General features: G+C 57.6%; 2 protein-coding genes across 34 annotated transcripts in view, besides 8 other annotated features; one reads left to right on the forward strand and one right to left on the reverse strand.

Annotated features, from left to right (window-relative positions):
- TSPAN18 (tetraspanin 18) overlaps nucleotides 1–4151 on the forward strand; it is a 206114-nt gene extending 201963 nt beyond the window's left edge. For all 8 annotated transcript variants that reach the window (XM_047427847.1, XM_011520459.4, XM_047427846.1 and 5 more), the window contains one exon: nucleotides 859–4151. In XM_047427847.1, coding sequence (XP_047283803.1) covers nucleotides 859–906 — 48 coding nt within the window. In that variant the 3' untranslated portion in view covers nucleotides 907–4151. The remainder of the gene's footprint in view (nucleotides 1–858) is intronic.
- Nucleotides 2419–3027: an enhancer, noted in NCBI's record as "H3K27ac-H3K4me1 hESC enhancer chr11:44952242-44952850 (GRCh37/hg19 assembly coordinates)". NCBI's record gives its function as "activates a minimal SCP1, AML or CMV promoter by ChIP-STARR-seq in naive H9 embryonic stem cells {active_cell/tissue: H9 hESC(naive)}" and the evidence as "EXISTENCE:reporter gene assay evidence [ECO:0000049][PMID:30033119]".
- Nucleotides 4076–23034, reverse strand: TP53I11 (tumor protein p53 inducible protein 11). Of its 26 annotated transcripts, NM_001258320.2 has the most exons (10): nucleotides 21701–21888; nucleotides 12731–12805; nucleotides 12242–12475; nucleotides 10842–10918; nucleotides 9935–10094; nucleotides 9283–9341; nucleotides 9032–9080; nucleotides 8531–8627; nucleotides 7289–7390; nucleotides 4076–6745 (listed from the first exon to the last, which is right to left on the reverse strand). In NM_001258320.2, the coding sequence occupies exons 5-10, from the start codon at nucleotides 10061–10063 to the stop codon at nucleotides 6612–6614; spliced, it is 570 nt and encodes a 189-aa protein (NP_001245249.1). In that variant the 5' UTR covers nucleotides 10064–10094; nucleotides 10842–10918; nucleotides 12242–12475; nucleotides 12731–12805; nucleotides 21701–21888; the 3' UTR covers nucleotides 4076–6611.
- Nucleotides 8051–8651: an enhancer, noted in NCBI's record as "H3K4me1 hESC enhancer chr11:44957874-44958474 (GRCh37/hg19 assembly coordinates)". NCBI's record gives its function as "activates a minimal SCP1, AML or CMV promoter by ChIP-STARR-seq in naive H9 embryonic stem cells {active_cell/tissue: H9 hESC(naive)}" and the evidence as "EXISTENCE:reporter gene assay evidence [ECO:0000049][PMID:30033119]".
- Nucleotides 8416–8505: a silencer, noted in NCBI's record as "silent region_3280". NCBI's record gives its function as "represses an Ori minimal core promoter by ATAC-STARR-seq in GM12878 lymphoblastoid cells {active_cell/tissue: GM12878}" and the evidence as "EXISTENCE:reporter gene assay evidence [ECO:0000049][PMID:35858748]".
- Nucleotides 10222–10935: an enhancer, noted in NCBI's record as "H3K4me1 hESC enhancer chr11:44960045-44960758 (GRCh37/hg19 assembly coordinates)". NCBI's record gives its function as "activates a minimal SCP1, AML or CMV promoter by ChIP-STARR-seq in naive H9 embryonic stem cells {active_cell/tissue: H9 hESC(naive)}" and the evidence as "EXISTENCE:reporter gene assay evidence [ECO:0000049][PMID:30033119]".
- Nucleotides 15042–15690: an enhancer, noted in NCBI's record as "H3K4me1 hESC enhancer chr11:44964865-44965513 (GRCh37/hg19 assembly coordinates)". NCBI's record gives its function as "activates a minimal SCP1, AML or CMV promoter by ChIP-STARR-seq in primed H9 embryonic stem cells {active_cell/tissue: H9 hESC(primed)}" and the evidence as "EXISTENCE:reporter gene assay evidence [ECO:0000049][PMID:30033119]".
- Nucleotides 16900–17503: an enhancer, noted in NCBI's record as "H3K4me1 hESC enhancer chr11:44966723-44967326 (GRCh37/hg19 assembly coordinates)". NCBI's record gives its function as "activates a minimal SCP1, AML or CMV promoter by ChIP-STARR-seq in naive H9 embryonic stem cells {active_cell/tissue: H9 hESC(naive)}" and the evidence as "EXISTENCE:reporter gene assay evidence [ECO:0000049][PMID:30033119]".
- Nucleotides 22381–22510: a silencer, noted in NCBI's record as "silent region_3281". NCBI's record gives its function as "represses an Ori minimal core promoter by ATAC-STARR-seq in GM12878 lymphoblastoid cells {active_cell/tissue: GM12878}" and the evidence as "EXISTENCE:reporter gene assay evidence [ECO:0000049][PMID:35858748]".
- Nucleotides 22541–22800: a silencer, noted in NCBI's record as "silent region_3282". NCBI's record gives its function as "represses an Ori minimal core promoter by ATAC-STARR-seq in GM12878 lymphoblastoid cells {active_cell/tissue: GM12878}" and the evidence as "EXISTENCE:reporter gene assay evidence [ECO:0000049][PMID:35858748]".
- Nucleotides 23035–24212: the final 1178 nt, after the last annotated feature.

The following is a 24212-nucleotide window of genomic DNA, read 5'->3' on the forward strand; positions in this document are numbered from 1 at the left end:
GGTAACCTTTTACTGAGCAACTTCTAGATAAGAGGCACATTACATCATTAGGTAATTGCATTACACTTAAATCTCACCACCTTCCTGTGAGCTGGAGGCGAGCCTGCAGGGGTTGTAAGCATGGGCTCTGGGGTCACAATGCCTGGGACTGAAACCCAAGCTCCCCTGCTGGTGGCTCTGTGACCTCAGGTAGGTTACATACCTCCCAATAAAGCACTTAAAACTGTTCCTTGGCTGGGCGCTGTGGCTCACGCCTGTAAATCCTAGCACTTTGGGAGGCCGAGGCAGGCAGATCACGAGGTCAAGAGATGGAGACCATCCTGGCCAACATGGTGAAACCCTGTCTCTACTAAAAATATAAAAATCAGCTGGGCGTGGTGACGCATGCCTGTAGTCCCAGCTACTCAGGAGGCTGAGGCAGGAGAATTGCTTGAACCTGGGAGGCAGAGGTTGCAGTGAGCTGAGATCGTGCCACTGCACTCCAGCCTGGGCAACAGAGTGAGACTCTGTCTCAAAAAAGAAAAAAAAAACTGTGCCTGGCACATGGCAAGCTCTGGATACATACTCAGGCCCAGTGTAGGGAAGTGCTTTGCCTAAGGACAACCCTGCTATGTCAGGGAGCTGGATTTGAACCCAACACTCGTTTCTAAAGTCTTCCTGGTCCATGACTCCACCACATAAAGGAAGCCAGGTAGGGGCTGGTGAGAAGGGCTGGCCCCAGGGGAATGTCAGGAATCCTTAGGGGAGGAGTGTGCTAAGAGTGACAGGCATTCACTCCCCTTCCCCTGGAGTGGGCCAGGCAGCCCACAAAGGGCCCAGCCTGATAAGCCAGTTCCTGCTCTTTTTCTTTTTTTGCAGCTTTTCGCCATGATCTTTGCCATGTGCCTCTTCCGGGGCATCCAGTAGAGGGTATGGCCTGAAGCCTGAAGACTCGCCCCACCCACCACTGCCCAGCACCCAGTGTCCTCCCGTGCCCCTCCCCGCTGTCCTCTTGGCCCCAGGGGAGAAGATGAGGCCATCAGAGATGGCCAGGAGAAGGGCCAGGGGAATAGAGCTATTTTTTTAACAAAACAAAATGAAGACAAAAATATGGACTGATGTATCCTCGCCTGGACTCAGGGCAGGTGCCGTGGGTTCTCCAGAGACCCCAGCAACTGGCCCAGGATGCAGGCTGCTCTAGAGACCAAAGGAACACCAGGCCCAGCGCCCTCTTTGGTCCAGCCAGACCCTGGGCCCTCTCTCCTCACTGCACCAGGACCTGATGCCAAGAAAGTGAGGATTTAGGCAACAAGGAGGCAAAAGCAAATCTCAGAGAAGTCATCAAAGCCCAGGGGCTGCACGGAGATTCAGCTGCCATGTCTTTGAGGACTCGGAACCCACAGCGCAATCCCTGGTCCACTGGAGGATGGACTGTTCCCCCCTTCAGGCCGGGGCCAAGAGTGAGCTGCTAACACGGCATCCAAGAATGGCCCAGCTGGTAGGATCCTTGCTTTCCCCATCTGTTGGACCAAATAATCTCAAAGGCCCAGAGAGGACAGTGACCATCCACAGACACACAGCACAGGCGTGACAGTTCTGAAAAGAAGCTGAGTTGTCTCCAGGCTGCTGTCACTGCATCCAGGACTCTGTCAGCTCTGCTGCCCACATGCACCCCTGGCCTCAGCATCCCGGTTCCCCCAGACAAGAGAGGGCAAGTCAGCCAGGAACTGCCTCCTCCCTGCTCTACAGCTAAGAAAACACCATTCCATGACTTCCCACCGCGCCCTCGCTCCTACCTCCCCACACCTCTCTCTGAGTCCCCAGGAACACACAGAGGTGCACATCACATTCCCTTGTCCACACTGCCCGCCTCTCCCACATGCCACCCCCTTCCCTGTCCTTCCCCAACTCCCCAGCTCCAAGAGTGGAAGAAATCCCCAAGATCATCTGGGTCTCCCTCTCCACACCCAGAACTGAGGCTTGGATATCTTCTTCAACATCCTTGCCAAGACTTCTCCACCCTCTTGCATACCTCCAGGGACAGAGAGCTTACTACCTCCCAAGGCAGCCTCCTGCCTTTGGACTGCTCTGACTTTAGCATCAGCTTAATACACAGAAGAGGTTTCTGTTTTTCTGTGGCTCTGTCCATGGCATCCCACTTGCCCACTCTCCTTCCTGGAGTGTTGAGGTCACACATTGACTCCCCTGAGCCCTCTTCTCTCCAGGCTAAAGAATCCCGAAGGCATCGAGGCCATTTCTGCTGCAACAAGGTTTCCTGTCTCTTCACTGTCCGCACATTTCTTAGTATTCCCTCCAGGCTTGGGCAGGGAGACTCGCAGATGCACACCCACAAGTATTCAGTTCTCAAACTCTAGACGAGTGTTGGCAACTGGATTGCAAGATGCTCCTACCCTGATAGATCAGGGGTGGCTGCTGGAGGCTGTGCTGGGGATCTGAGGTTTGGTCTGGGCTCAGTGGGAGACGGCAGTGCAATCCTGATGAGTGATGTCTGCCAGGCACCGTAAGTTTGATTAGTGATGTCTGCCACGGGCAGGGATGGAAGGAGCAGTGTGATGTCTGCTCTCTTCTCTCCCCTCTGTCCCTCTTCAGGAAGAAAGAGCTCATTCTGTCTCACAAGCCACCGGCATCCTGTATCAGCTTCCAGCCTCCCCTCAGGCTTTCCAGTCACCAGGGACACTCGGAGCCACAGCCTAGAGCCCCGTGTTCCCTGGCCTGTGCGTCTGCCCCCTTCTGAGATGCAGCCAGAAGCTCTGTGCCTGCTGCAAAGATTCAGGTGGACCCTCCTCTAATCTCCTCCTGCTGTGCCCGCCAGTCCTTGCCCTCCCACCAGGTCTCTGAGCTCAGTGTTACCAAATTCGCCCTTTAACAGCTTGCTCTGGCAACCCCATAAATGACACCTGAGGTCCGTAGAAGCTAAGCTCCTGAGACCCAGGGGGACCTGCCACTGGTACCGCGGCCCAGCCTGGGGCCTGGGGGCTGCCCCTCTTGAACCACCCACATGCTTAGCCCCAGCTTTTTGGAAGAGGCAAATGGCTGGTCTGAGGATGACACACAAAAACAAAAACAAAAAACAAAAAACCCATGCTGGGCAGGACTGAGGCAAATTGCACAGCTTTATGGCTCTAATCCAGGGGCATCCCAGGCTTCTGGGGCCCACAGAAGTCAGAGGGAGGACCCAAGAGAAAGGGCTGGTCATGAAGGGAAATCTGGCTAAGGTGGGTTCAAGGGCAGACACAAGACTGCCCCTCAGCAGCTTTCTACAAATGTGCCAAGGAACCCTCAATCAGCCCTGATTCAGCTCGCCAGCCAGCCACTGGCCACCCTCTTAGGCTGGAAAGGGAAGACAGGCAGTTTCTGCTCCTGTTGGCATTCGCTCAGGCTGGTAGCTATTTGCAAGACTGCCTGAGGCCATTCCTTGGAGGCAAGGCAAAGAAAGCTCAGCCCAAATCAGGCTTGAGCCTCCCTCCAGAGCACAGGGAGAAACAGGGTTTAGCTGGCTTGGTCCAGATACAACCCACAGCAGGTTCTGGTGGTGGCTGGGGTTGTGGGGGAGGGGTGGGCAGGGATACCTCTTTGTTTCTTTTCACCCCGAAATACAACAGCCCATAACAGAGACTTCCTCGGACCCCACTAACAGGGCAAGGAACAAGAAGACTACACCGCTCATCACAAACCCTGCCTGTATCGAAAGCCACTTTCCTGCTCTGAAGCTACTGCCTCTTAGAGAAAGGGAATAGCTCTTTATGGGCTGGGGGTGAGGGCCCCTCCCCAGGGTCCCTGTTAATTTCTGGCCTTGGTGCTCAGGCCTGTCCACAGCCTCCCTTGTCTATGTCTCTATCCATGCTTAAGGGGCCCGGACAGGATTTCCCAAACCAGCCGAGGCCCCAGCACCCGCCGTCTCCCCAGAAGCCCCCTCCTCCTTCCCCCATGGGTCATATGTTGAAAGTCTATTTTAAAAACTATGTTCCTTGCCGTAGATTGCAGAGCTAATTTATCACGTTTCTCTCCTGTGAGACCCCCCTTTTATATGATATATCCAGAGGAAGTTTTGTAATATAAAACAGGACGCCCACACTGATGGTTTTGCACTGGTTTTTGTGAATGTTTCTTACAAAAAGAAAAAGGAACAAAGAATAAATAGTGACCGTGAAGAAAGGTGGTCTTGATTTGGGGTTGGGGATAGACTGGGGCGAGGCAGAAGCTTGACAAGAGGCTGCTGATGGCTGGAGGGAGCTGGGAGAAGAGGCGTTCCAGGTCACCCCAAACGGAGCGTAGAGCGGGCCCACACCGAGCTTTCCTCGCTGGACTTAAGGGCCCCTGTCCCTCACCCCTCTGCCACTGCCTCCTTCCCAACTGTAAATCTCCTTGCCTTAGAGTCCCCCTGCCCTCCAAGCTGTACGTCTGTCTTCCAGATCTTACCTGACCTGCAGCCCCCTCCCTCACCCTCACCTGCAGGCTCCACTACAATTAGCTCTAACCAAGCCACCCAGTATTTTGTGAGCACAGCTGTGTGCCAGAGCCTGGACAGCCTCATGGGGTAAGGCCACGCCACCCTCCCATCCCACAGTTGAGTGTGGAAGACTGGATGTCTCAGGGCCAGCAGACGCCCGACACGCAGCCTCATTCCCCAGGTGGAATCCACCTGCAGTTATGGGAGGACAAACCAACCATCACTATTAGAGGATTAGGCCTGGCTCAGATGGGGGATTGAGGCTTCGGCCTGAGGGCACTGCCCATTGGCGGCACCACCTGTGGGCAGCAGCGGGAGGCAGTGGTGGCTCGTGGCCAGACCAGGGCTCGGCAGCAGGGAGGCAGCTCTTTAGGGAGAGGCACAGGCTTAGGTAGCAAGAGACAGATGCCAGGAGAGGGGCCCTTCCTCAGGGTCCAGCCTCCCATTCTGCTCTGCCACGTTTACCAAGCAGAGTCTCGGGGCATCCGCTGTAACCATGGTGGTGCCACCACTCTGCTGGGTACAGGCCATGTTGCTGTATCTGGGTGCAGGGACAGCCAGGCACAGGGTGGACAGGGGTGAGGACCCCTGGCAGGGGCCCACCTGGCAGCAGCCAGAGCGGGCTGTACCTATAGACACCCTCCAGCCATCCCCCACTCTATGCCAGGATGGGAAGCGAGTCTGAGGCCTGGGGCTGCTTTTCTCCCTACACCTGTCCCCAGGGCTTGGGCTCGCCACTTCCGGTGTGTGCATCGGTGTGCTGGCAGGAGGGAGAAGGTTGGGATCAGGGACTAACGGGGTGTACAGCACAGGCTGGTGGGCCCTCAGGGAGAAGCTGGGCGGTGGGTATGCAGCACAGGCTGGTGGGCCCTCAGGGAGAAGCTGGGCGGTGGGTATGCAGCACAGGCTGGTGGGCCCTCAGAGGCAGGGCAGGGGCTGTTCGGCCCCAAGACAGCCAGTTGTCAGCCTTTGCCAGGGCGCTGGACAGGGCGGGGAAGATGAGGGGAGGTGGCCTGCTGAAATGTTTCTACTTATTTCCTGTGCTGAGTTGGAGGGCCACCTGATCCCACTCAGCCAGACCCTGGAGGCAGCCCGGGCTGCACGTGTGGGGGGCAGCTCACCGGGAAGCAGGCAGGAGTGGGGGACAGGCTGAGCCCAGTGGCCATCAGGCCTTGGGGTACATGCCAAGGGGCAAGAGAGCGCTATGGCTTTCCTTCTGTTCCTCCTCTCCCAGCCCCACCACTTACAATGGTCTCCATTGGGGGCTGTGTGTCCCTTTGTCCGTGGGGCTGAACTCAGGCTGGTTGCAGGGAGGGGGCTCCCAGGGCATTCCAGTGTCCTAGGGTAGAGGCAGAGTGCCCTAGAGCAAGGTCCCAGGAGAGCTCATCTTGTCAGGCCAGGAGAGTGGGGACAGGACTTCTAGCTGGGAGAGGACTTCTAGCTGTGTGTGGCCCATTCTTGAAGAATGGCTGAAAGGGAGGTGCCATCTCAGGCAGCACACCCTGCCTGCATGCCCTTGGCTGGGCTATGAAGGCGCACGTGTGTGTGTTTGCTCACATCATGGGTGTATGTGTGTCTGTGTGTGTGTTCAGGGGTGTGTATGTGTGTGTGTTGTGTGTCTGTGTGTGTTTTCAGGGTGTGCATGTGGAGAGGGCCAGATTGAGGAGGAGGGGTACAGGGTTTTCCAGGATTAGAAGGAAGCCAAGTTTAGCTGCTTGGGCACTAGGTTGGCTGGGAGTGTAGGGAGAAGGATGGGGGGTGGTCACAGCCTCTCTCAAAAGCAAGAAGGGCTTCCTGGCAGAAGAGGCTGGACCCTCGACTTAGCCCACTACCCTCATGACTCCAGCCTGACTTTAGTCAGTGTCTATTGAGGGGGTCTGGAGGCCAAGAGACCCAAGGAAAGGAGGTATCACTGTGAGGGTGAAGAACAGGGCAGCAGAGGCCCTGTCTCTCCCCAGACCAGCATGTCAAGCCTGAAAGCCCAGGAGATCACAGCACACGGGGTGCCCAGGAGGAAAGGAAGGCCCCCCACCCCCTGCCTCCCTGGGGCAGGACTGGGGCAGGGCAGGGGACCCTCCTGCCTTCCAGGAGCCAAAGGGAAGCCGAGGCCCCAGCGCCACTCTGGCCCAGGCATGGGCAGGGCCCCAGGCCCAGCGGGCAACTAGGCCTTCTTGGGTCTTCGGCCGACTTGGTAATAGTAGTAAATGCTGATGACGACAAAAAGGAGGCGGCTGACCAGGAGCAGCAGGATCCCCAGGGACATGAGGCCCGTCTCAGCTAGCGTGGCAGTGACCACTGTGGGAGAGAGTCCAGCAAGGCCACAGGGTCAGAGGAGGGGATGTGTCCCAGCGCTGCCCCCCTAGCCCGGAGCGCTGGTGTGGCCGTCTCCCTGACTTTGCTCTGAGCCCAGGATCCTCCCAGGTGGGAAGCACAGGACCTGCCCCCTGCCCCTGCCAACCCCACAGATGTTTCTGCTCTGATGTCTCCCATGTGGCAGGAACTGGGGCACAGCAGGTGGGCAAAATTGAATGCGTGTTATTACACACGTGCTGGGTACAGTGGGCAGTGGGTGTGGGGGGGCCGCAGGTACATGTGTGTGCAAGGCCATAGATACAAGTGTGTGGATTTGGGAAGCTACAGGCACGTGTGTTAGGCATGTGTGCACAGGTGTGCAGGCACACAAGTAAACACAGCCAGGTGAGTCCTTATCCCTCTATCCCCTCCCTAGCCCCCCACAGACAGGTTTTCATCACTTCCCACACACCCAGGTGGCTAGAGCAGGCAGGTCAGGGGCGAAGCGGCCCATCAGCCTCCCTCACTGCCCACCTCAGGACTCACCCAAGAACTGGACCCCGAAATAGCAAGCTTCGGTGAGCAGGGTCCATCGAATGATGACCTTCTCAGCCGTGTAGAGAGCGTTCCACATGATCAGGGAGATGCCTGGGGCGGGGGATGAAAAGGGGGCTGGGGGTGGGACAGCTGACTCCCTCCCAGCAGGGCAGGAGGACTGCTCCTGCTTCCTCTGGCCACTGCTGCAAGACAGCTGGGGTCCTGGACTCCACGCCTCCGCCCCTATTCACATTTCTCAAATCAAAGCTGTCTGTCCCCGATCCTGTCCCCTCCAGACTCAATGCTGCTGCTTCAGCCTGCTCCTGTCATTCCAAGGCCCTATGTGACACTGGGCGAGTCACTTCCCCGCATTGAGACTCGATCTCTTTATAAAGGGGGAGGACTGAGCCCCTGGCCCCTGCCCATGTCCGGTTCTGTCAGGAGGATGCTGTGTTCATGGAGTTCATGAGTTAATGGGTTACCTGGTCCTATGATTGGGTTTTCTTTTACACGGACTCCCAGACAGAAAACCTGAGCCCGGTAAGGACTCGCTTTAAGGAAGTCCCCTGGGGGAGGGGGATGAACCATACTTTTTAGCAGAAGACCACTGACTTGGCCTCTAGCAGGCCCCGCCCACCCAGTGTCTGCTGGTACCAGACATGCCACTGGGTGTGCATTTATTTTATTCCAGCAACCCTAACTCCAGAGGAGCTCAGCCTTTATTCTGTAGGCAATAGGGAGCCATAGAATATTTCGTAGAAATAGAGGCATATTACCTATGCTGAGCTTTAAAAATTGTAATTCCAAATCCTAACGTGTGCATCTCAGGTTAGAGAGGAAACAGAAGTGGTTCAAACAGAAGTGGCTCTGGGGATAAAATAGGGGGGGTGCGAGGGGTTTTGCAGACACTGAATTGATCTGCCTCTCCTCTAGGCTGTGAATTCCTAGAGGCTGGGCCTGGGCTTCCTCCATCTCTGTACCACAACGCCCAGAGGCAGTGCACACACTTATGAGCGCTCCTTGCAGATGGTGGCGACTGCAAGCTCCAACCCACTGGGTGTATTCCACCAATGGCCACAAGATGGCAGCACATCCCCAGCAGAGAGCTTCATCAGAGGCCGGGGTGTGGGCGCAGCATCTGGCCGAAGAAAGGAAGGGGTGCCCGGGCACGGACCCCCGTGCTCTCCTCAGCCCCGCTGGGTCTCCCAGCTGCCCGTCGCCTCCCCCAGGGCCCGCCCCAGCAGTACTCACTGAGGAGGGCACCGCCGTAGAGGCGGATGGGGGTCTTGCTGGTCACCTGGGCTCCATCAAAGACCGCATCATAGAGCTGGTCAGGGAAGGCAAGCGCCTGCGGGCAGCGAGAGGGGCTCAGAGGTCCCGCTTGGGAGAGGGTGGGGGGTGACAGCTGATGCTTCCCACAGACGTCTTCCTTCCCCGCCAGGAGCAGGATCAGCATCCTTGGGGGCAGTCCAGGGTCTGGACCCAATTGTCCCCACCCGCCCCCATGCCAGGACAGAAAACTCCAGGGTTCCTGGGAGAAGGAGTCAGGCCACAAACCATGGGATCTAGTGTGCTCCTGGAGAAGGCACAGGCGTGGCAGTGTAGGAGTCAGGTTCTCGGAGGCAGCCCCAGAGCCTGACAGATGGGCCCCTGCACGAGGGGCCAGGATGGAGGAGGCACCTCTGGTGAGCCAGAGAAGGGCTGAGGGAGCCACACGGGGCCAGATCTCAGGGGCTGGGGGTGGGGGCTCACCATGATGGCAATGCCGGAGAAGAGCACAGCAGAGACGAACTGCCAGACCCTGGGAGGCGTGGAAAGAAGATCACAGCCCTGCCCCAGGGGACCCTCCCCTCTCCAGCCCAGATCCCCAGGGATGGCAGCTTTGGGGAAGGTAATGAGACAAAATAAAATCCAGGGACCAGGCCAAATGAGGTGAGGTCTTATGCATTCTGCCCCACCGCCGCAGGCCTTCCCCTCCCCCAAAAAGTCAGGTAAATGCTCACCTGAGCCCCAAAGGCTCCCGAATGGTAAACTTGATTTCATTGCCTAAGACCTGGCTGATCTGTGGACAGAGGGGGTCAGAGGCAACCAGGGTGAGGGCAGCTCTCAGCGCCCCCACTCGCTCATCCTCCCAGAGCCCTGCACACCCAGGGACCAGCCTGGGCACCTCAGCTTGGCCAAAGGTTCCCCCAGGTGGGGAGGGTCACATGAGGCCACCCCCTCTCCTGCTTCCCCTTGACACTAGGATTTAAAAGAAGCTGAAAATATGATGGTGACGTATGAAAGCTCAGGGCTCTGCCAAATGCAGACTTGAAGCCTGGTCCTGCCACTTACCGGTGTGGCCTTGGGCAAGTTGCCTAACCTCTCTGAGCCTTTGTTTCCTCATCTATAAAATGGGTGAATGATTTTACAGTATCTGCATCTTCTAGTGCCAACAAGAAGATTTAAAAAGCAACTGCTGGAAAACCGGGCACGTAATAGGCACTTAATTCTAATGATCTCGTTATTCCCCTGGCATTGCTGTTACATTTCTAGGAAAATCAGCTAAGTCCTAGAACTCCTGCGGCTACCTGGGCCTGGGCTAACCTTCTCCCCTAATGGTGGGTCAGCCTGGCCTCCCCAGTGGGTGCCGGAGGCCCCTGCTCTGCACCCCACCTTGGAGCGATGCACCTCCCCGTCGTCATCCTCCCCGCCCACGCCGAGGATCTTGCGGGTCTTCAGGCGGCTCACGAGGTCCGTCTGGCTGTGCTTCTTCATCAGAGGCGGGGGCTGCTTGGCCGCCATCTTCTCCTCCAGCCCGGCCTCTGCAGAAGGGCTGAGGGGAGACACCGGCCTCAGGCCACAGTTCCTACCCAGCTTCCAGACCCTAGGGGAAGGGGCCTGACTAGCGGAAGGCCACACCCCACACCAGGCCTGCTGAGGCCTCCCCACGAGCCCAGGGCAGTAGGGGGAGTACAGCTGGCTTCCTTGTCAAATGGGTTGAGGAAATGCTCTCCAGGCCCCTGAGGCTCTGGGAGCTGGTCTGCTGTAGGTGGACACAGCACACCCCATCTGACAGGTTGCATGGTGCCTTAGAGCCAGCCCTGGAGGCATAGGGCCCAGGAGAGGGCATTTGGGTCTGGATGGCGGCCACATCCAAGCTTCCTGGGGGGATGGGGAGGAAAGGAGCCTGGATTCATGGGGCAAATGAGGTTTAGAAAAGGGGAGGGTCTGTCCAAGCCTGGGGCAGGGGCTTCTGAGTTCTGGGGTTTGGGCCCCCACCAAACTTCTGCCCAATCCTGCAAGCCGGTGAGCCCCTCTCCCGTCTCCCTGCCACCCCCCTTCAAACCTGCCAAGACCAAAGAAGGGGAGGGGGTGCCCTCATACCCAGCAGAGCCAGAGAAGGCTGCCAGGGGTGTTGACGGGGACACTAAGGTGGTCTAGATTCCCTGCTCAGGCCTTGCCCTCCCGGCCATCAGCCCCCCACCAGCCCCTCCCGGCACCCCAGGTCTGCCCATGATCCTCCCCAGCCCCCCACTCCCCCACCGCCAGCAACATCTTGGACCAGGTTGGGAGCACCTACTGCGTGCCAGCCCCTGTGCTGGGCAACTGAGATGCAGAAAGAAGCTGAGTACCTGTCGCGTCCTCAGTCAGCCAAATCTATGCAGAGGAGACAGCAGTGTAAACGGGGTGAGGTGAAGCCTCAGAGGCTGGCTCCGGGGTGGCCCTGGCTTCTCTAATCACAGCTGCCCTGCAAGATGGGCGCTATTGACGGCCACGCTGCAAATGAGGAAACCAAGCTCCCGGGGTTTCAATGCCAACCAAGGTGAATAACGGTCGTGCCACTTCCTACCTCGGACCACTTCCAGAATCTCATTCCCACTTGCACCCACCCTCTGGCAAGGCAGAAAAGCCATCCCCATCTACAGACAGGGTCAGAAGCCACTGGGCCCTCTAGCAGGGGACCCTGCTGTCTCAGTGCCCTGTGGCCCCAGGCAAATCTCACCCTCCTGCCCCAGCCAGGGCTGCCAGAGGCAGAGTGCGGGGATGTCCCCGGGTCACCTCCCATTTTTGAGCCTCCTGGTGTCTTAAAATAAAGCACCCGAACAAATATCAGAACACAGTTTCAAACTGTGGGGTCTGTGAATAATGTGGCTGTAGACCGGATCAACTAGGGAGGCAGTATACCATGTCGCATTGGGAAAAAAAACTGCAAAAGTTGCTATTGGCGGTCTTTAGTGAGTGTGATGTCATTTCCAGGCCAAACTACCCTCCTACGCCCCCTGGCTTTAGTTCCTCATCCACAAAAAGGAGTGGATACGCCTTTCTCCTCCCCACACACAGGCCCCATGGTGAAAGGAGACAGCGGCGGGTGGTAACTGTGACGGCAGTCCCACACCCGGCACACAAGAGACTCCCGGTTAATGCTTCGGTGTGTGCCAGCCATCAGGACAGGAGGCCAACCCTACCCTGCCAGGGAAGCCAGGGCCTAACCTTTCATCACCCGGCTCCTGGAGGGCCCAGGACGCCGTCCTGACACCTCAGCTGCTAGCCACTGCCTTCTGGTGAACCCAGATAGAAGCTACAATTAGCCACGTCCCTCCCGTGGCCAGGCGAGGCTGCCCTGAAAGTCACTAAGCCACTGGTGAGAACCGGGTCCTTCACCTGTTCCTCAGCCAAGGATGTTGCCTGGCCCACGCCCTTCCTCTTCCAGCCTCCCCATGGCCTTTTATCTTTTAATACATACAGCAAAATTGACGGGCTTCAGTTGTGCAGTTATTTGAATGTTAGCACACGTATAGATTTTTGTAGCCACCAGCTCCAGATCAAGACAACGAGCAGTTCCATCACCCCAAAAACTCCCTGGCGCTGGCCACTCCCTCCCCTCACACCTCCACCCTGGCAACCACTGATCTATTCTCTGACACTATGGCTTTTGTGTTTTCAAATATGCCATGTAAGTGGAATGATAAAGCGTAGAACCTTTTGAGGCTGGCTCCTGTCATTGAGCAGAATGCCTTTGAGATTCCTCCAAGTCACTGTGTGTATCAAGAGTCCGCTCCTTTTTATTGGAGAGCAGTATTCCCTGGGGTACGTGTAACAGCTTGTTTATCCATTCGGTCACTGAAGGCCATGTGGGTTGTTTCCAGTTGTTGATGATTATGAATAGAGCTGCTACAAACCCGCGTTTCTGTGGGACCGTAAGTTTTCATTTCTCTATGTAAATGCCAGGGGTGGAATTGCTGAGCTGTGTGGTACATCCCTGTTGGACTTTCAGAGAAAGCATCAAACTGTTTCCCAGAGCAGCCATGCCACTGCGTGTCCCTGGCAATGCAGTAGTGTTCCAGTTCCTCCACATCCTCACCAACACTCGGTAAGGTCGGTCTTTATTTCAGCCCTTCTACGAGCTCCTCCTGGCTGGTTAACCCCTCTCCCAGGCCAGACGTGCTGCCTCCCTCAGTCCTGCCTTACCTCTTCCTGCTGTGTGGCCTTGTGCTCTGAGTCTCGGTTTCCTCATCTGTGAAATGGAGCCATCATTCCCACTTCCTAGGGAGCCCGGGGCAAAAAGAAAAGCTCAGAGCACTCAGCAAAACACCTGCACATTTGCCTGAGGAATCCGCACTTAGTGAGGTCTACTGTGAGCAAGGTACATGGGTGGTGGGACAGGCCCCCTATCCTGAAAGAGCTCCCAGCCTTGGCCGGGGGAGGGGGCGCTGATCTGCTAGCCACTGATTAGAGCAAGTTACTTTTCCTCTCTGAGCTCCGGGGTCCTCATCTGTGAAACGAAAACAGCCAACCTCACTTTTCCCCTACAGCTGGTCTCAGGAGAAACAAAATAATGGACAGACAGTGCTTTAGAAAGAGCCAGCTCACTGCTCAAGCCAGAAGGCCTAATGGGTAAGTGCTTAACTGCTGAGGACGCTCCCTGGATTTGAATCCCAGATCCATCACTGCCTGGCTGTGTGCCCGTGGGCAGGTCAGTCACTTAACCTCTACGTGCCTCAGTCTTCCCAGGTGTAGTTGGGAAAATAAGGTGTCCTATCTTATAGAGATACTGTGAGAATAAAAGCTGTAATCTCCATGAAGCCATGGGGAAGTGCCTGGCCCACAGCAAGTCCCCAGTGAAGACAGGCAATTATCAGACACAGACACTGCCACCCTCCCCAGGCCTCCCATGTGGCAGTGGCACCAGGATGGAGGCCATGGAGGAGTAGGAAATGGATCTAACTAACACTTCTTAACTTCTCCGCCCCACTGGGCAAAGCCCCAGATCTCAGTCCCCGGGCACAAGGCTGGCGCTCAGCCACTGCCCACCAGGCCCAGGCTGTGTCCACGGCCCACCTCCGAGGGGCAGAAGCTTCCAGGCATTGGATGCATTGCTTTCCTCTGCCTGCTGACCCCTCTCCACCAACACATGCACACACACGCACACTGCACACACAGTACACACACACACACACCACATATACACACCATACTCACGCCACACACACACCACACACCACACACATACACACCACACACACCACACACATACCACACACACACCATACAAACTACACACACCACACAATACGTGCACACACACGCCACACAAACCCACCACACATACATCACACACACCCACCATACACAATGCACACACAAAACACACACACACCACACATACCCACCACGCACACACACCCACCACACACCTACCACACACCACACACACCCACACACTACACACACCCACCACACACATCACACACACCACATACCACACACCACACCCACACCACACATTACACACCATAGACACCACACACACACACCCCCACAACACACCACACACAACCATACACACACACCACACAAACCACAAACACCACACACACACCACACACACACACCATACACACACACACACACACACACACACACACACATACACACACAGAGCATTCCCCTCTGCATCCCAGGACGGAGTCAACAACAGCTGCTGCAAATCAACGGCTGTGGGACGTGTCAGTGCCCACCTGCTGGGGCTGGGAAGAGTGGGCACTACAGTGTCCTGGACAGAATTACTCATGGGTGGGACAATCTTCATCCACGGGCACTGCCATCAGACATCTGAGCTGGTGGGAACCACTGTGCCCACCTCCCAAGCCCACCCTAGCAGGGAGGGCATCACTCACAAAGGGCCCATGTGGCCCCACAGAGAAAATGGAATCTTGACCTCCAGGGAGGAGGGCCCCACACCCACCTTCCAGCACAGATAACTGCTCTGAGAACGGCGCTCCACCCCTACTTCACCCCCAGGACTGGGCCCTGCAATGATCAGATCCACCCAGCAGCCCCTCACCTGCCCCACTGGCGAGGCAAGCTGCACACACCCCTGAGGTCTCCCCTTGACCTTTCCTCCCCTTCAGGGCCACTCCAGGTGTTTATTTCAGGCCTAAGTGAGGACAGAAGACTCCACCGTGCACTATGGCCAAACCCCGGCTTTGGGGGCAGGGGACCTGGGTTTGAGTCTTGGCTCTGCCCTCTTGCCAGCTGCATGGCTTTGTGCAAGTCACTACACCTCTCCTAGCCTCAGTTTCCCCTCTTGTGAAATGGGGGTAGTGAGAACGCTCACCTCGCAGACGTGCTGGTGGAGAGAGAAAGAAGGAGTGCACGTGGGCACCCATGGGGAAAGTGCCCTGCCCAGGGAGGAGTCTGGCCCTCCTTCCACTTCCCTTTCTCCACTCAGCCGTGCACAGTGGAAAAAGCCTGCCATCAGTGCTGTGAAGCTTCCTGCTCTGCCCCACTGCCTTCTGAAGGGCCCCCGGGGGTTTCCCCCAGGAGCCAGGCTGCAGGAGGCTGGGGGCAGGGGCAGCAAGGACAGCCACTCCTCCACCCACATCACCTGTCTGGCAAGAAGGGAGGACATGGCTCCTAGGGCCCAGGCCTGGGATCCTGAACCTTTCCCTTCTGCCCTGCCAGCTGCTCTCGCCCACATTCCCGATCAGCCAGCAAACCTTTCAACAGTGGTTCTCATTGCTGACCCTTTACACAAGTGAGAAGGTCCCTGGGACACTCTGTCCCCCCACCATGCTCCTTGTTCCTCCAGGCTATCTTGCACACAGCCCCTCTTCCCAGGGCCCTCCCAGGGCACTGGGTCCTCATCCTCCTCTGGACTCTCACGGGTCTCAGTGTCTGCAGCCACTGGCCACTTATAGCCTCTACTCCTGGTCATTTCACGGCAGTTTGACTCCCCAAGACCAACCAGTCTGAAGGTATGGCTTGTACTGTGCTCCTCCGTGTATCTCCCCGTGAGGCTGGGGTGCACAGCAGGCACTTTGTCAACACAGGTGGAATGAGCAGCTGTCAGGCTAAGCCCAACCAGCACACTCAGAAGCCCACAGGTTAGACGTGGCGGGCTGAGGGGAGGCTGTGCCCCAGGCCACATGGAAGCTGGTGGCATAGGGCAGGAAAGGGCTTTCCAATTAGGCAGAACTGGGTTCAAAAGTGGCCACTCTCTGTTGGTCAGGTGGCCTTAAGCGAGCAGTCTCAGCCCTCAATACAATGGGGATCACACCACAGCGCCTTACTTGCCTTACTCATGGGGTGCTGAAGACTCCAGGAGATGGGGTGCAAATGCTCTTGGCAGAGGACCTGGCAGTGGGGGGTCTGGACAGCCGTGAAGGTTAGAGGACTGGATGAGAACACTGGCCTCTGACATTGCCCCACCTCCTCAGAAAGCTGTGGCATCACTCGCAGGGGAGTGCCCCAGGGCAAGGATTTCTTTGGGTCTTGTTCTCTGAGCCTGGGACAACTCCGGGCACAGGAGGAGTTCAACAGGCATTTGTGATTGAATGAATGAGTCGGGAGGAGCTAAGAGGCCCTCTTCAGCCAAGATCTGACTCCCTGCAGTCCCTCCCACCTCCCCATCTGCTGTGGAATCTGAGGCCAGGGAAGAGCACCTCCACATGCTTCCCAGGGGCGAGGCGGGAACAAGCAAAGTCCCCAAGACTAAACCAGCCAGGAAGAGAGGGGCTTTTTGGGGATACAAGAGTCAGAAGAGGATGACAGACAGGGAGGTGGTAAGCATATTTGTAACGATTGGGAAAACTTGGGCTCAAATCCCTGCTCCTCTTTATTGCTCTGTGACCTCAGGAAAGTTACTTAACCTCTCTGAGCCTCTATGTCCTCATCTGTGAAACCAGACTACTACTTCTGTACAAAGCCCACAGGTTTGTGATGTGTGATGATAAGAAAGTGCAGCTGAGGAGCCTGGCCTCTGGTGTGTACTCTGTAAAGGACAGCAATTAATAACATGAATAAGGTGGCTGCCCAGGCTCTGCCCTGGCCAGATCAGATGGGACTGAGGCGTCATTCCCATGCAGATCCTGGAGGACTTCCCCAACCCCCTGTCTCTTTCCCAGGAAGCCTGGTTTCTATAGAAACAGATGGACTGCCGAGCTGTCCCCAGCATGAAGACTATGCCCGTGAGGGCTGGCTTAGGAAACCTGACTGGCTGGGGGAGTGGGGAAGATGAGGGAGGGAAGAGGAAGGGGCCCAGAACATCCATCAGTGGCCAAGCCTCCCTGTGAGTCAAGGGGGAGTCACTGCTGCTGCACACCTCAGCCAAGGAGCCACTGCCTTTCCAAACAAGAGCTTCTGTGATAGGGGCAGGCAGCACACCTGTTCCTCCACCCCTCATAAGGAAGACTGCCCCCAGGGCCACCTACCCCGGGGCTGGGAGGAGCGGGGCAAGTACTTCAAGACCATGAATCCCCTGCTATCCCCACCACAACCCTATGAGAATGGCCATATTATCACCCCCATCTTACACATGAGAAAACGAAGGCTCATGTGACTTATTCGAGTGTCCCTTGAGGTAAGTGGCAGAGCTGGAATTCAAGCCAAGGTAACTGTTCTTTAACTGGACATCCTAAGAGAAGCTGATGTGTGTGTGCAATGTGTGCGGTGGTGGGGGTGGGGGGGCGTTTGGTGGACGTGAACTGAGCTCTAACCCATCTTCCCCATGGCAACTCCCCCGGAAAGTCCCTGGTGGTCGCCAGCATCTGGACTCCTCTCTGGGGTCCAGCCTCCCTTGGGTTAAGGCCCTGCGACTCCAGCAGGACTTGGGGAGGGATGCAGGGAGACCCATTGTTCTGTTATCGCTTTAGTACAAAATAGCTGGAAATGGGGTCTGGGACAGGGCAACACAGAGTTGGGGGGCGGGGTGCTGGCAGTGAGAGCCAGAGCCTCAGGCCCCCGGCCAGAGAGAAGGGGAGGCAGGAGAAAGAATCTCTGCTCCCTGGAGGGCGGGACGGAATAGAAGGTCCAGAGCTTGCGTCATCCGCTCCAGCTGCGGTCCCTCCCAGGGCTGCCGTCGGCCCCTTGGGCAGGATGGAGTCTAGAGATCCCCTAGCCCAGAATCTATTGCCTGGGCCATCAGGCAGTGAATCCACTTGTCAATGGCTGTACTGGAGAGGCTTAGGGACTAAGGGACTTGTGTTCAGATCTTGGCTCTGCACTACTAGGCTCGTGCCTTTGGGCAGACAAACTCCTCTTTGAAGGAGCCTCCCTTCCTTCCACCGTAAATGGGGCGGTGGTCCCTGAGTCACAAGGCTGTCCGGGGGCTAGAGAGATAATCTAGAAGTCATGGGACACAAAAGAGGCTTTATGAAAGCGGCTGCACTACTGACATCCTCACAGCGGCCTCTGGGGTGCAGGTTTCATCGGAGGCCCACAGCTAAGGAGGAAGCTGAGGCGAGGCTACCCGGTGGATGGGCCTTGGCTGGCTCCAGCTGGCTTGCTATCAGGCCATCCCTCGAGAGCATCATTATTCCAAAGGCTGGGGCTGCCTTAGTCAGTCTTGTCTCTCAAGCAGATCCTGAGCCAGTGGAGGGCGGAGCTGCAGCATCCGTCTTCCTCATCATCTCAGCATCACCACTGGGCTCAGTGTCCAGGCTGCTGCAAAGAGTGAGGACAGAGCGGAACTGGCCGGGAGAGGCAGGCGCAGGATGCGAGTCCCGTGGCAGTGGCAACCCCCGTCTCCATGACACAGCTCTGCAGTTGAGAAAGGTTCCACGCCCCATTTCCAAGAACCTCCAGGAACATGTGCCCTGAGATCTGGTAGTGGAAGGTTTGTCCTGGAGCTGGAAGGTGGCAGTGTGTCCTGAGTCACTGGGCTCGGAGACAGGACAGCTGAGGTCACAGGCAGATTCTGCCATCACTGGTAAGCCAGGCCCTGTCTTTGGGGCTCAGTTTCTTTGTCTAAGAAAATGAGAATGTGGTCTCTAGGGCCCCTCCCAGCCCTGCCTCACAGCGGCCACACTCCAGGTCCCTGCTGGGCCCCAGCTCAAGCTGCCTCATCCCCAAGACCCGCCACCCCTCAGCCTGGACTGGCACACAGGTCCTATCTTCCTACTCTTTCTTTTTGAAGGGGCCCAATTTCCAGAAAGGCAGAGGAAAGCCCAACCTTTCATCAGAAACATTTCCAAAGCTTTAGGGACAAATATGAACATTCCTTACTGTGCTGAAGAGGGCGAGAGGTCAGGGCAGAGCAGGTGGCAAGAAGGAGGCATTCCTGGGCTCCTCCCCCGGGGGTCTGAAGCTGCTGCTGTGGGCAAGGGGATCAGGCCCTCTGATGGCCTCCATCACCGCTCAGAAGTCACTGGGAGGTTTTTCCTGTCTCGACGGTCATTCACATGGGCAGAACATGAAGAATTCCTGTCCTTTTCGACTCTGAGAATAGGCCAGCCTGCCCCTTGGCCCAGTGACCATGTCAGGGCCCTCAAGGGCAGCTGGTGTCGTCATCAGGACAGCCTGACTTCCAGATCCTATCGGGCTAGGGGTCTGGTGAGAATGCAGCAGGCACCTCCCTCTCCGACCTGCACCCCACTCTCCCCATGCCCCTCCCCCACCCCGTGGCTGTTCAGGAACTTAGAGGGGAGAAGAGGGTGGGAGAGGAAGGGAGAGGAAAGGACAGGAGCTTCCTCGAAGGGATGCTCCACATTTTGAGCCCGTTTCTTCAAAAGCAAGCGGTGATTTGTCTTCTGGGTGAGTTGGGGGAGGCAGGTGGAAGGGTCCCTGCCCTTTTCGCAGGATAAGATGGGCCACAACCATAGTCCAGGACTGAGTGTCTCCCCAATCCTGGGGTGCTGGCTTAGTGGTTAAAGGACTAGCTCATGACTTAAAAGGCTTGTGCTCCATCCTGGCTCTACCACTGATGAGCTGTATGCCTTTGGGCCAGTGACTCTGCCTCCCTGGGCCTCAGTTTCCTCATCTGTTAAATGGGGTGTAATAATGACACCAACCTCTCACCAGTGAGAAGATGCACCAAAAAAATCCAGAACAGCGCCTGTTTTGTAGTTAATGTTCAATAATAATGCTGCTCATTATTTTTAGACTAGAAGACTCTACTTCCTTGCCTCAGTTGCCCCCTTGACCAAATCTGCCTCAGAGCAGGTCCCCTTCTAGGGATCATGTGCCAGGTCAGAGTTGGGTGCTCAGAAGGGACTGGTCATAGGAAGGAAGTGGGATGAGAGAGAGCAAGGGTCACTTTGGGGCAGGAGGACGATGCTGCGCTGGCCCTGGGAGGGGTCCAGCCAGTGTAGCAGGATAAACAGTGAGACACAGGGTGCCGGGGAGGTATCGTGGACCAGGAGTCAGAACATCAGGCACCCCGCCCTGCAGCTGCCTCTCCTGGCCTGTGTGTCCTGGGGTGACTGACATACTGTCTCTGAGCCTCACTTCCCTCACCTGTGAAAGGGGAGGAATTCATCCCTTCTCAGTCACTCACTCTTCCTCAGCCCCTCACTCCCTGCTAGCTGCAGGGTAGGCACATTCCAGCCTCAGGGCCTTTGCATGGGCTGTGCTCTAGCTGTCTACACAGCTCACTCCCTCATCTCCCTCAAGGCTGTAGCTCAAAAGTTACCTCCTCAGGGAGACCTCCCTGACACCCTATTTAAAATGACAACCCGGTCCCTGGCCTCAATACCCCCAACACAACTTTTCCCCTTCACCTCTCAGTACACTATATAATTTGCTTATTGTTTTTATTAGGGAATTGCCTCCCCCTGCCCCCTGCTTTTAAGCATCAGCTCCATGAGGACAAAAATTTTTATTTTGTCCACAGCTGTCTCCCCAGTGCCTGAAACTGTCCCTGGCACTTTGCTCCATAAGCCATTTTTGGTGTAATGCTCACAAACATTTTGTTCAATAAGCAAAAGTAAAGAACAGCCCCAAACTGTGTGACTATGGGGCATTCCTGTTAAATCCAGCCCCCTCCTCCCCCATACCCCAAGAGGGGCAGGCCCTTCTTCCCACAGAGGTGGGGCTATCAAAAGAAATTGGGAGGCTGGGTGTGAGCTGGAGAAGCCACAAGGGGCCTGGAGGCAGAGCTGTGCAGAAAATAGGTCGCAGTCCTAGAACTGGCAGGTCATGACAGCTGGACATGGGTGAAGGGGCTTTCGGCCTTAGCCCTCCACTCCAAATTTGGAAGCACGGAGGAAGTTGACGACATGTGACTGGGAAAGAAGCGGCCATGGCAGGGGCCTCCTGGGATGGTGGGGACAGAGGGGGCCTCAGGAACAAGACGACCCATTTTACAGATGGGACAACAGAAGCCTGGAGAATAGTCTTATTTCCTAACAACCCAACAAGAAAAATCTTTTCTCTCCTTTCTCGAAGTCTGGGGCTGAGGCTAAGGAGCGGACAGTGCCCCCTCCTGGCTCTGCAACAAAACGACCCCCGCGTCCCTGGGATCTGCGGGCCGCAGATCCTGGTCCCCTCTCCACAGGCCGTCAGGGGTGGAGGTCCAAGGGACCACATAGTTGGGGTGGGCAGCCCCGGTGACTTCTCCCCGCAGGCCCGCCCCGTCAAGAAGTTTGTTTGAAAGAAACCAATCAGGAAGTGCAGGGTAGTGGGGCGGTGAGGGGGCCTTGGCCAGCCGCTCTGGGCTTTGGAGGAGCCTGGGGGTTCTTGGCCTCCGCGCTGCTCTTGCCCCAGCCTCCATCTCTCCGGCGGAGAAACCCACTCCCCCCGGGCTCCAGGAAGAGGCGGAAGCCCGAGACTGGGTCAGGGCGAAGGAAGGTAGAGCGAGGGGACCCAAGGCGAGCGCCCCGCCCCGCCCCGCCCAGCGGGGCGCGCCGGGGTGGGCGCGGCGTTCTGGCCCTTCCTCCACACAGCCTCCCCCGGGTAGGTGCGAGTGTTCTGCCCACGGCAGGGGCCCTAACCCACCCAGCGCCCGGCCAGTGGCCCCACACTGTACCCTTCCTGCAGATCGCGCGACTTTGGGGAGAGTGGGGGGCGTCTCCACCTGTGCGTCCCCTACCCACCCCCTAACTGGGCTAAGGCGCGGCCTGGGTTTCTGCCCGCCCCTTTCCAGCCTGGGGACGGGGGACTCTCTCAGCCTCGCCCCTCCCCCTGCAATCTGTCCCTGATGTCCCCGCTCCAGACACTCACCCACTTTCTGAGACCCAGGCCTCAGCGCCGGTGTCCCCCGGCGGTGAGCTCCGAGCCGTTAGGCGGCCCCGGGTTCTCCGGCCCAGGGCCCCTGCCCCCAGGCCCCCACCCCAGAAGGTCGGGCCAGACTTGTGGGCAGCGGGAACTCCGCCACCACCTCCGTCCGCGGCCCTGCGGGGGCAAAGACTGGGGGAACTCGCAAGTTTGCGCCGCGCACTCCTCCTGCCGGGAACAATGGCGGGAGGGGGAGGGGACAGAGAACCGAGCGCGGGGGACCGAGTCAGACCCCGGGGAGACAGAAACTGCTTTCGCTCCGTTTCTCTCCTGCTCTGAAGCAGAAAGCTCGAGCCCGAGAGGCAGTGGCCGAGGACGAAATAAGCAGTCCAGGAGGAGGGCGACCGCGGAGCCGGGGGAGAGGGGAAACCGAGTCAGAGGGAGGGGCGGCGAGGGGAGAGCGCGCAGGGGAGACGGAAGGGGCTGCGGGACGGCGCCTTGGGGAGCTGGGGAGGCGACCCCCTGGGGTCCCAGCGGGCTCAGCGGGTGCCGAGATGTCCCGGGGCGCCCGGTTAGCGCGCGCGGGGTCCCGGCCGCCCCTCTGCGGTCCCGTCGGCCGCAGGAGCCCCGCTGGGTTGCGCTGCGCAGGCGGCGGGCGGCGGGAGGGGAAAGTCCGCGGCTCGGAAGCGGCGGCGGGGAGCAGAACTTACGGGCCTCGCGCGTGCCGGCGCTGGGCTACGTGGAGCTGATGCCAGGCGGAGGCTCCGGGCTCGGACGCCTCACATCGCGCCGCCCGTGCCGGGCCGGGCAGTGCAGGGCAGGGCAGGGCAGGGCAGGGCAGGACAGGGCAGGGCAGGGCAGGGCCGGGCCGGCTGGACTGCGCGCGGCGCCCTGCGCGGCCGGGGCTTACCGAGTCTGGCGGCCCGCGCTGGTCCCTCCTCTCGGTTCCGCGCACAAGCCAATGGCGCGCCGTCCCCTCCCACGCGCCGGGCTGCCTCGCCCCCAGGGTGGCCGCCGGGGCGGGCGGGATGGGGGTTGGCGGGGAAACCAGGCTCCCGGCTCCCCCGCGAGGCTCTCCCGGGGGCCGCCTGCAGGGGGCGCACGCGCGCCCGAGAGAAGGCGCCGGGGGAGGAAGCCGCGCGGGGAGACCCTGGCGTGGCCCGCGCCGCCCAGGATGACTTTCCTGGCAAGTTCTGCAGACGGTGCCCCTTTCTTGGGACGATCAACGTAGATGGGCAAACCACACCATCTTAAATAGCCTTGCGGTGTCTCCCGGGCCCAGGCCGGTGCCTGAAATGGAAGGGACTGCTTTGGCTGGCGGTGATACCCAAGTGTGTAATAACACAGTCACGACAATAGTCACCGTTTGCTGCGCACTCTCTGATGCCAGACACCATATGCTAAAGGAGTTACAAGTATTAACTCATTTGATTTTCACAGCAACCCATAAGGGCGCTGTGCTTAGTCCCATTTTACAGGCCATGGTCGTTAAAGTTTGAGTTCACTCAGCCTTCAGGCTTCCAGCCTAGGCCCACCCTTCTCTCTCCCTGCTTGGTGTGACTTGGCCAAATAACATGACCCCACTGTCACTACGGCCACCTTCTTCATACTCCACCCTAAAATCCAGCCTCAGAGATGCTGCTGTCAGTTGCGCTGTCAGGAGGCTAGGATCTTATCTGGGGCTCTAGGACGCTTGTTGGCGCTACAGTTGTCAAACCTTTTGTCTCTACACATCCTATGGGGGGCTGGGGTGAGGATGAGGGTTGGGGGTCATGGAGGCTCTCTGGTGGCGTGTCAACCTGAGAGAACCAGGCTCCTACAGACAAGGCCCCACCCCCAAATTCTGGGCTCCTTCAACCCCTTATGGTGGGAAAATAATGTGCTCTCTCCCACCCCAACCCCCACCACCCTGTGCTCTCCTTAGAGAAATGCCTGGATCTCTTTCATCTGATCTGATGGTCACAGTGGGCCAGGAACCGGGGTGGGGGGCTGCGGGAAAAGGAAGGCAAGGCTGATGACATGCTCCATTTCACAAGTAAATAAGACAGAAAGAGGTGAGTGGCTGCCTCAGGCATCTAGCTAGGTGGGCATTCTGACTCCAGGTCTCGGTTCTGTCTGCACCAGTTCCTTAACGGTTAATAGAGCAGGCTCTGGAACCAGATCACCTAGGTTCAAATCCTGACTCTGCCTTTTAGTGCCTGTGTGGCCTTGGACAAAGTAAGTCACCTAGAGCAACCAATAGTAAGAACCGGCTATGGTTGCTGTAGAGATTTAGAGTTAATAGGAGCTGCTCATGTTTACTGTGCATGGACTCTGTGCCATGCAGGCTCCCACTGTCCTCACCAGAGCTGGGATTGGGCAGGAGAGTCTGTGCCCTTGGCAAGGAAGTAAACAGAACAGTCCTTGGTTCATAGTAAGTGCTCAGTGAATATAAACTGTCCTGATTACTAAGGTAGATAAACTCTGATGCCCCAGTGCCACTGACACTGCCCCCAGCCAAACACCTAGACAGTGATAG

The sequence above is a fragment of the Homo sapiens genome, chromosome 11, assembly GCF_000001405.40.
Source record: "Homo sapiens chromosome 11, GRCh38.p14 Primary Assembly".
NCBI lineage: Eukaryota > Metazoa > Chordata > Mammalia > Primates > Hominidae > Homo > Homo sapiens.

What these genes read in the sequence shown, in the direction of transcription:
- TP53I11 (NM_006034.5), bottom strand. Translation starts at nt 10,063, where the DNA reads ATGGCGGCCAAGCAGCCCCCGCCTCTGATGAAGAAGCACAGCCAGACG. An exon ending in GGGAGGTGCATCGCTCCAAG is followed by an intron (nt 9,342 to 9,934) that starts GTGGGGTGCAGA and finishes CTCTGTCCACAG; the next exon opens with ATCAGCCAGGTCTTAGGCAA. An exon ending in TCTCCGGCATTGCCATCATG is followed by an intron (nt 8,628 to 9,031) that starts GTGAGCCCCCAC and finishes CGCTGCCCGCAG; the next exon opens with GCGCTTGCCTTCCCTGACCA.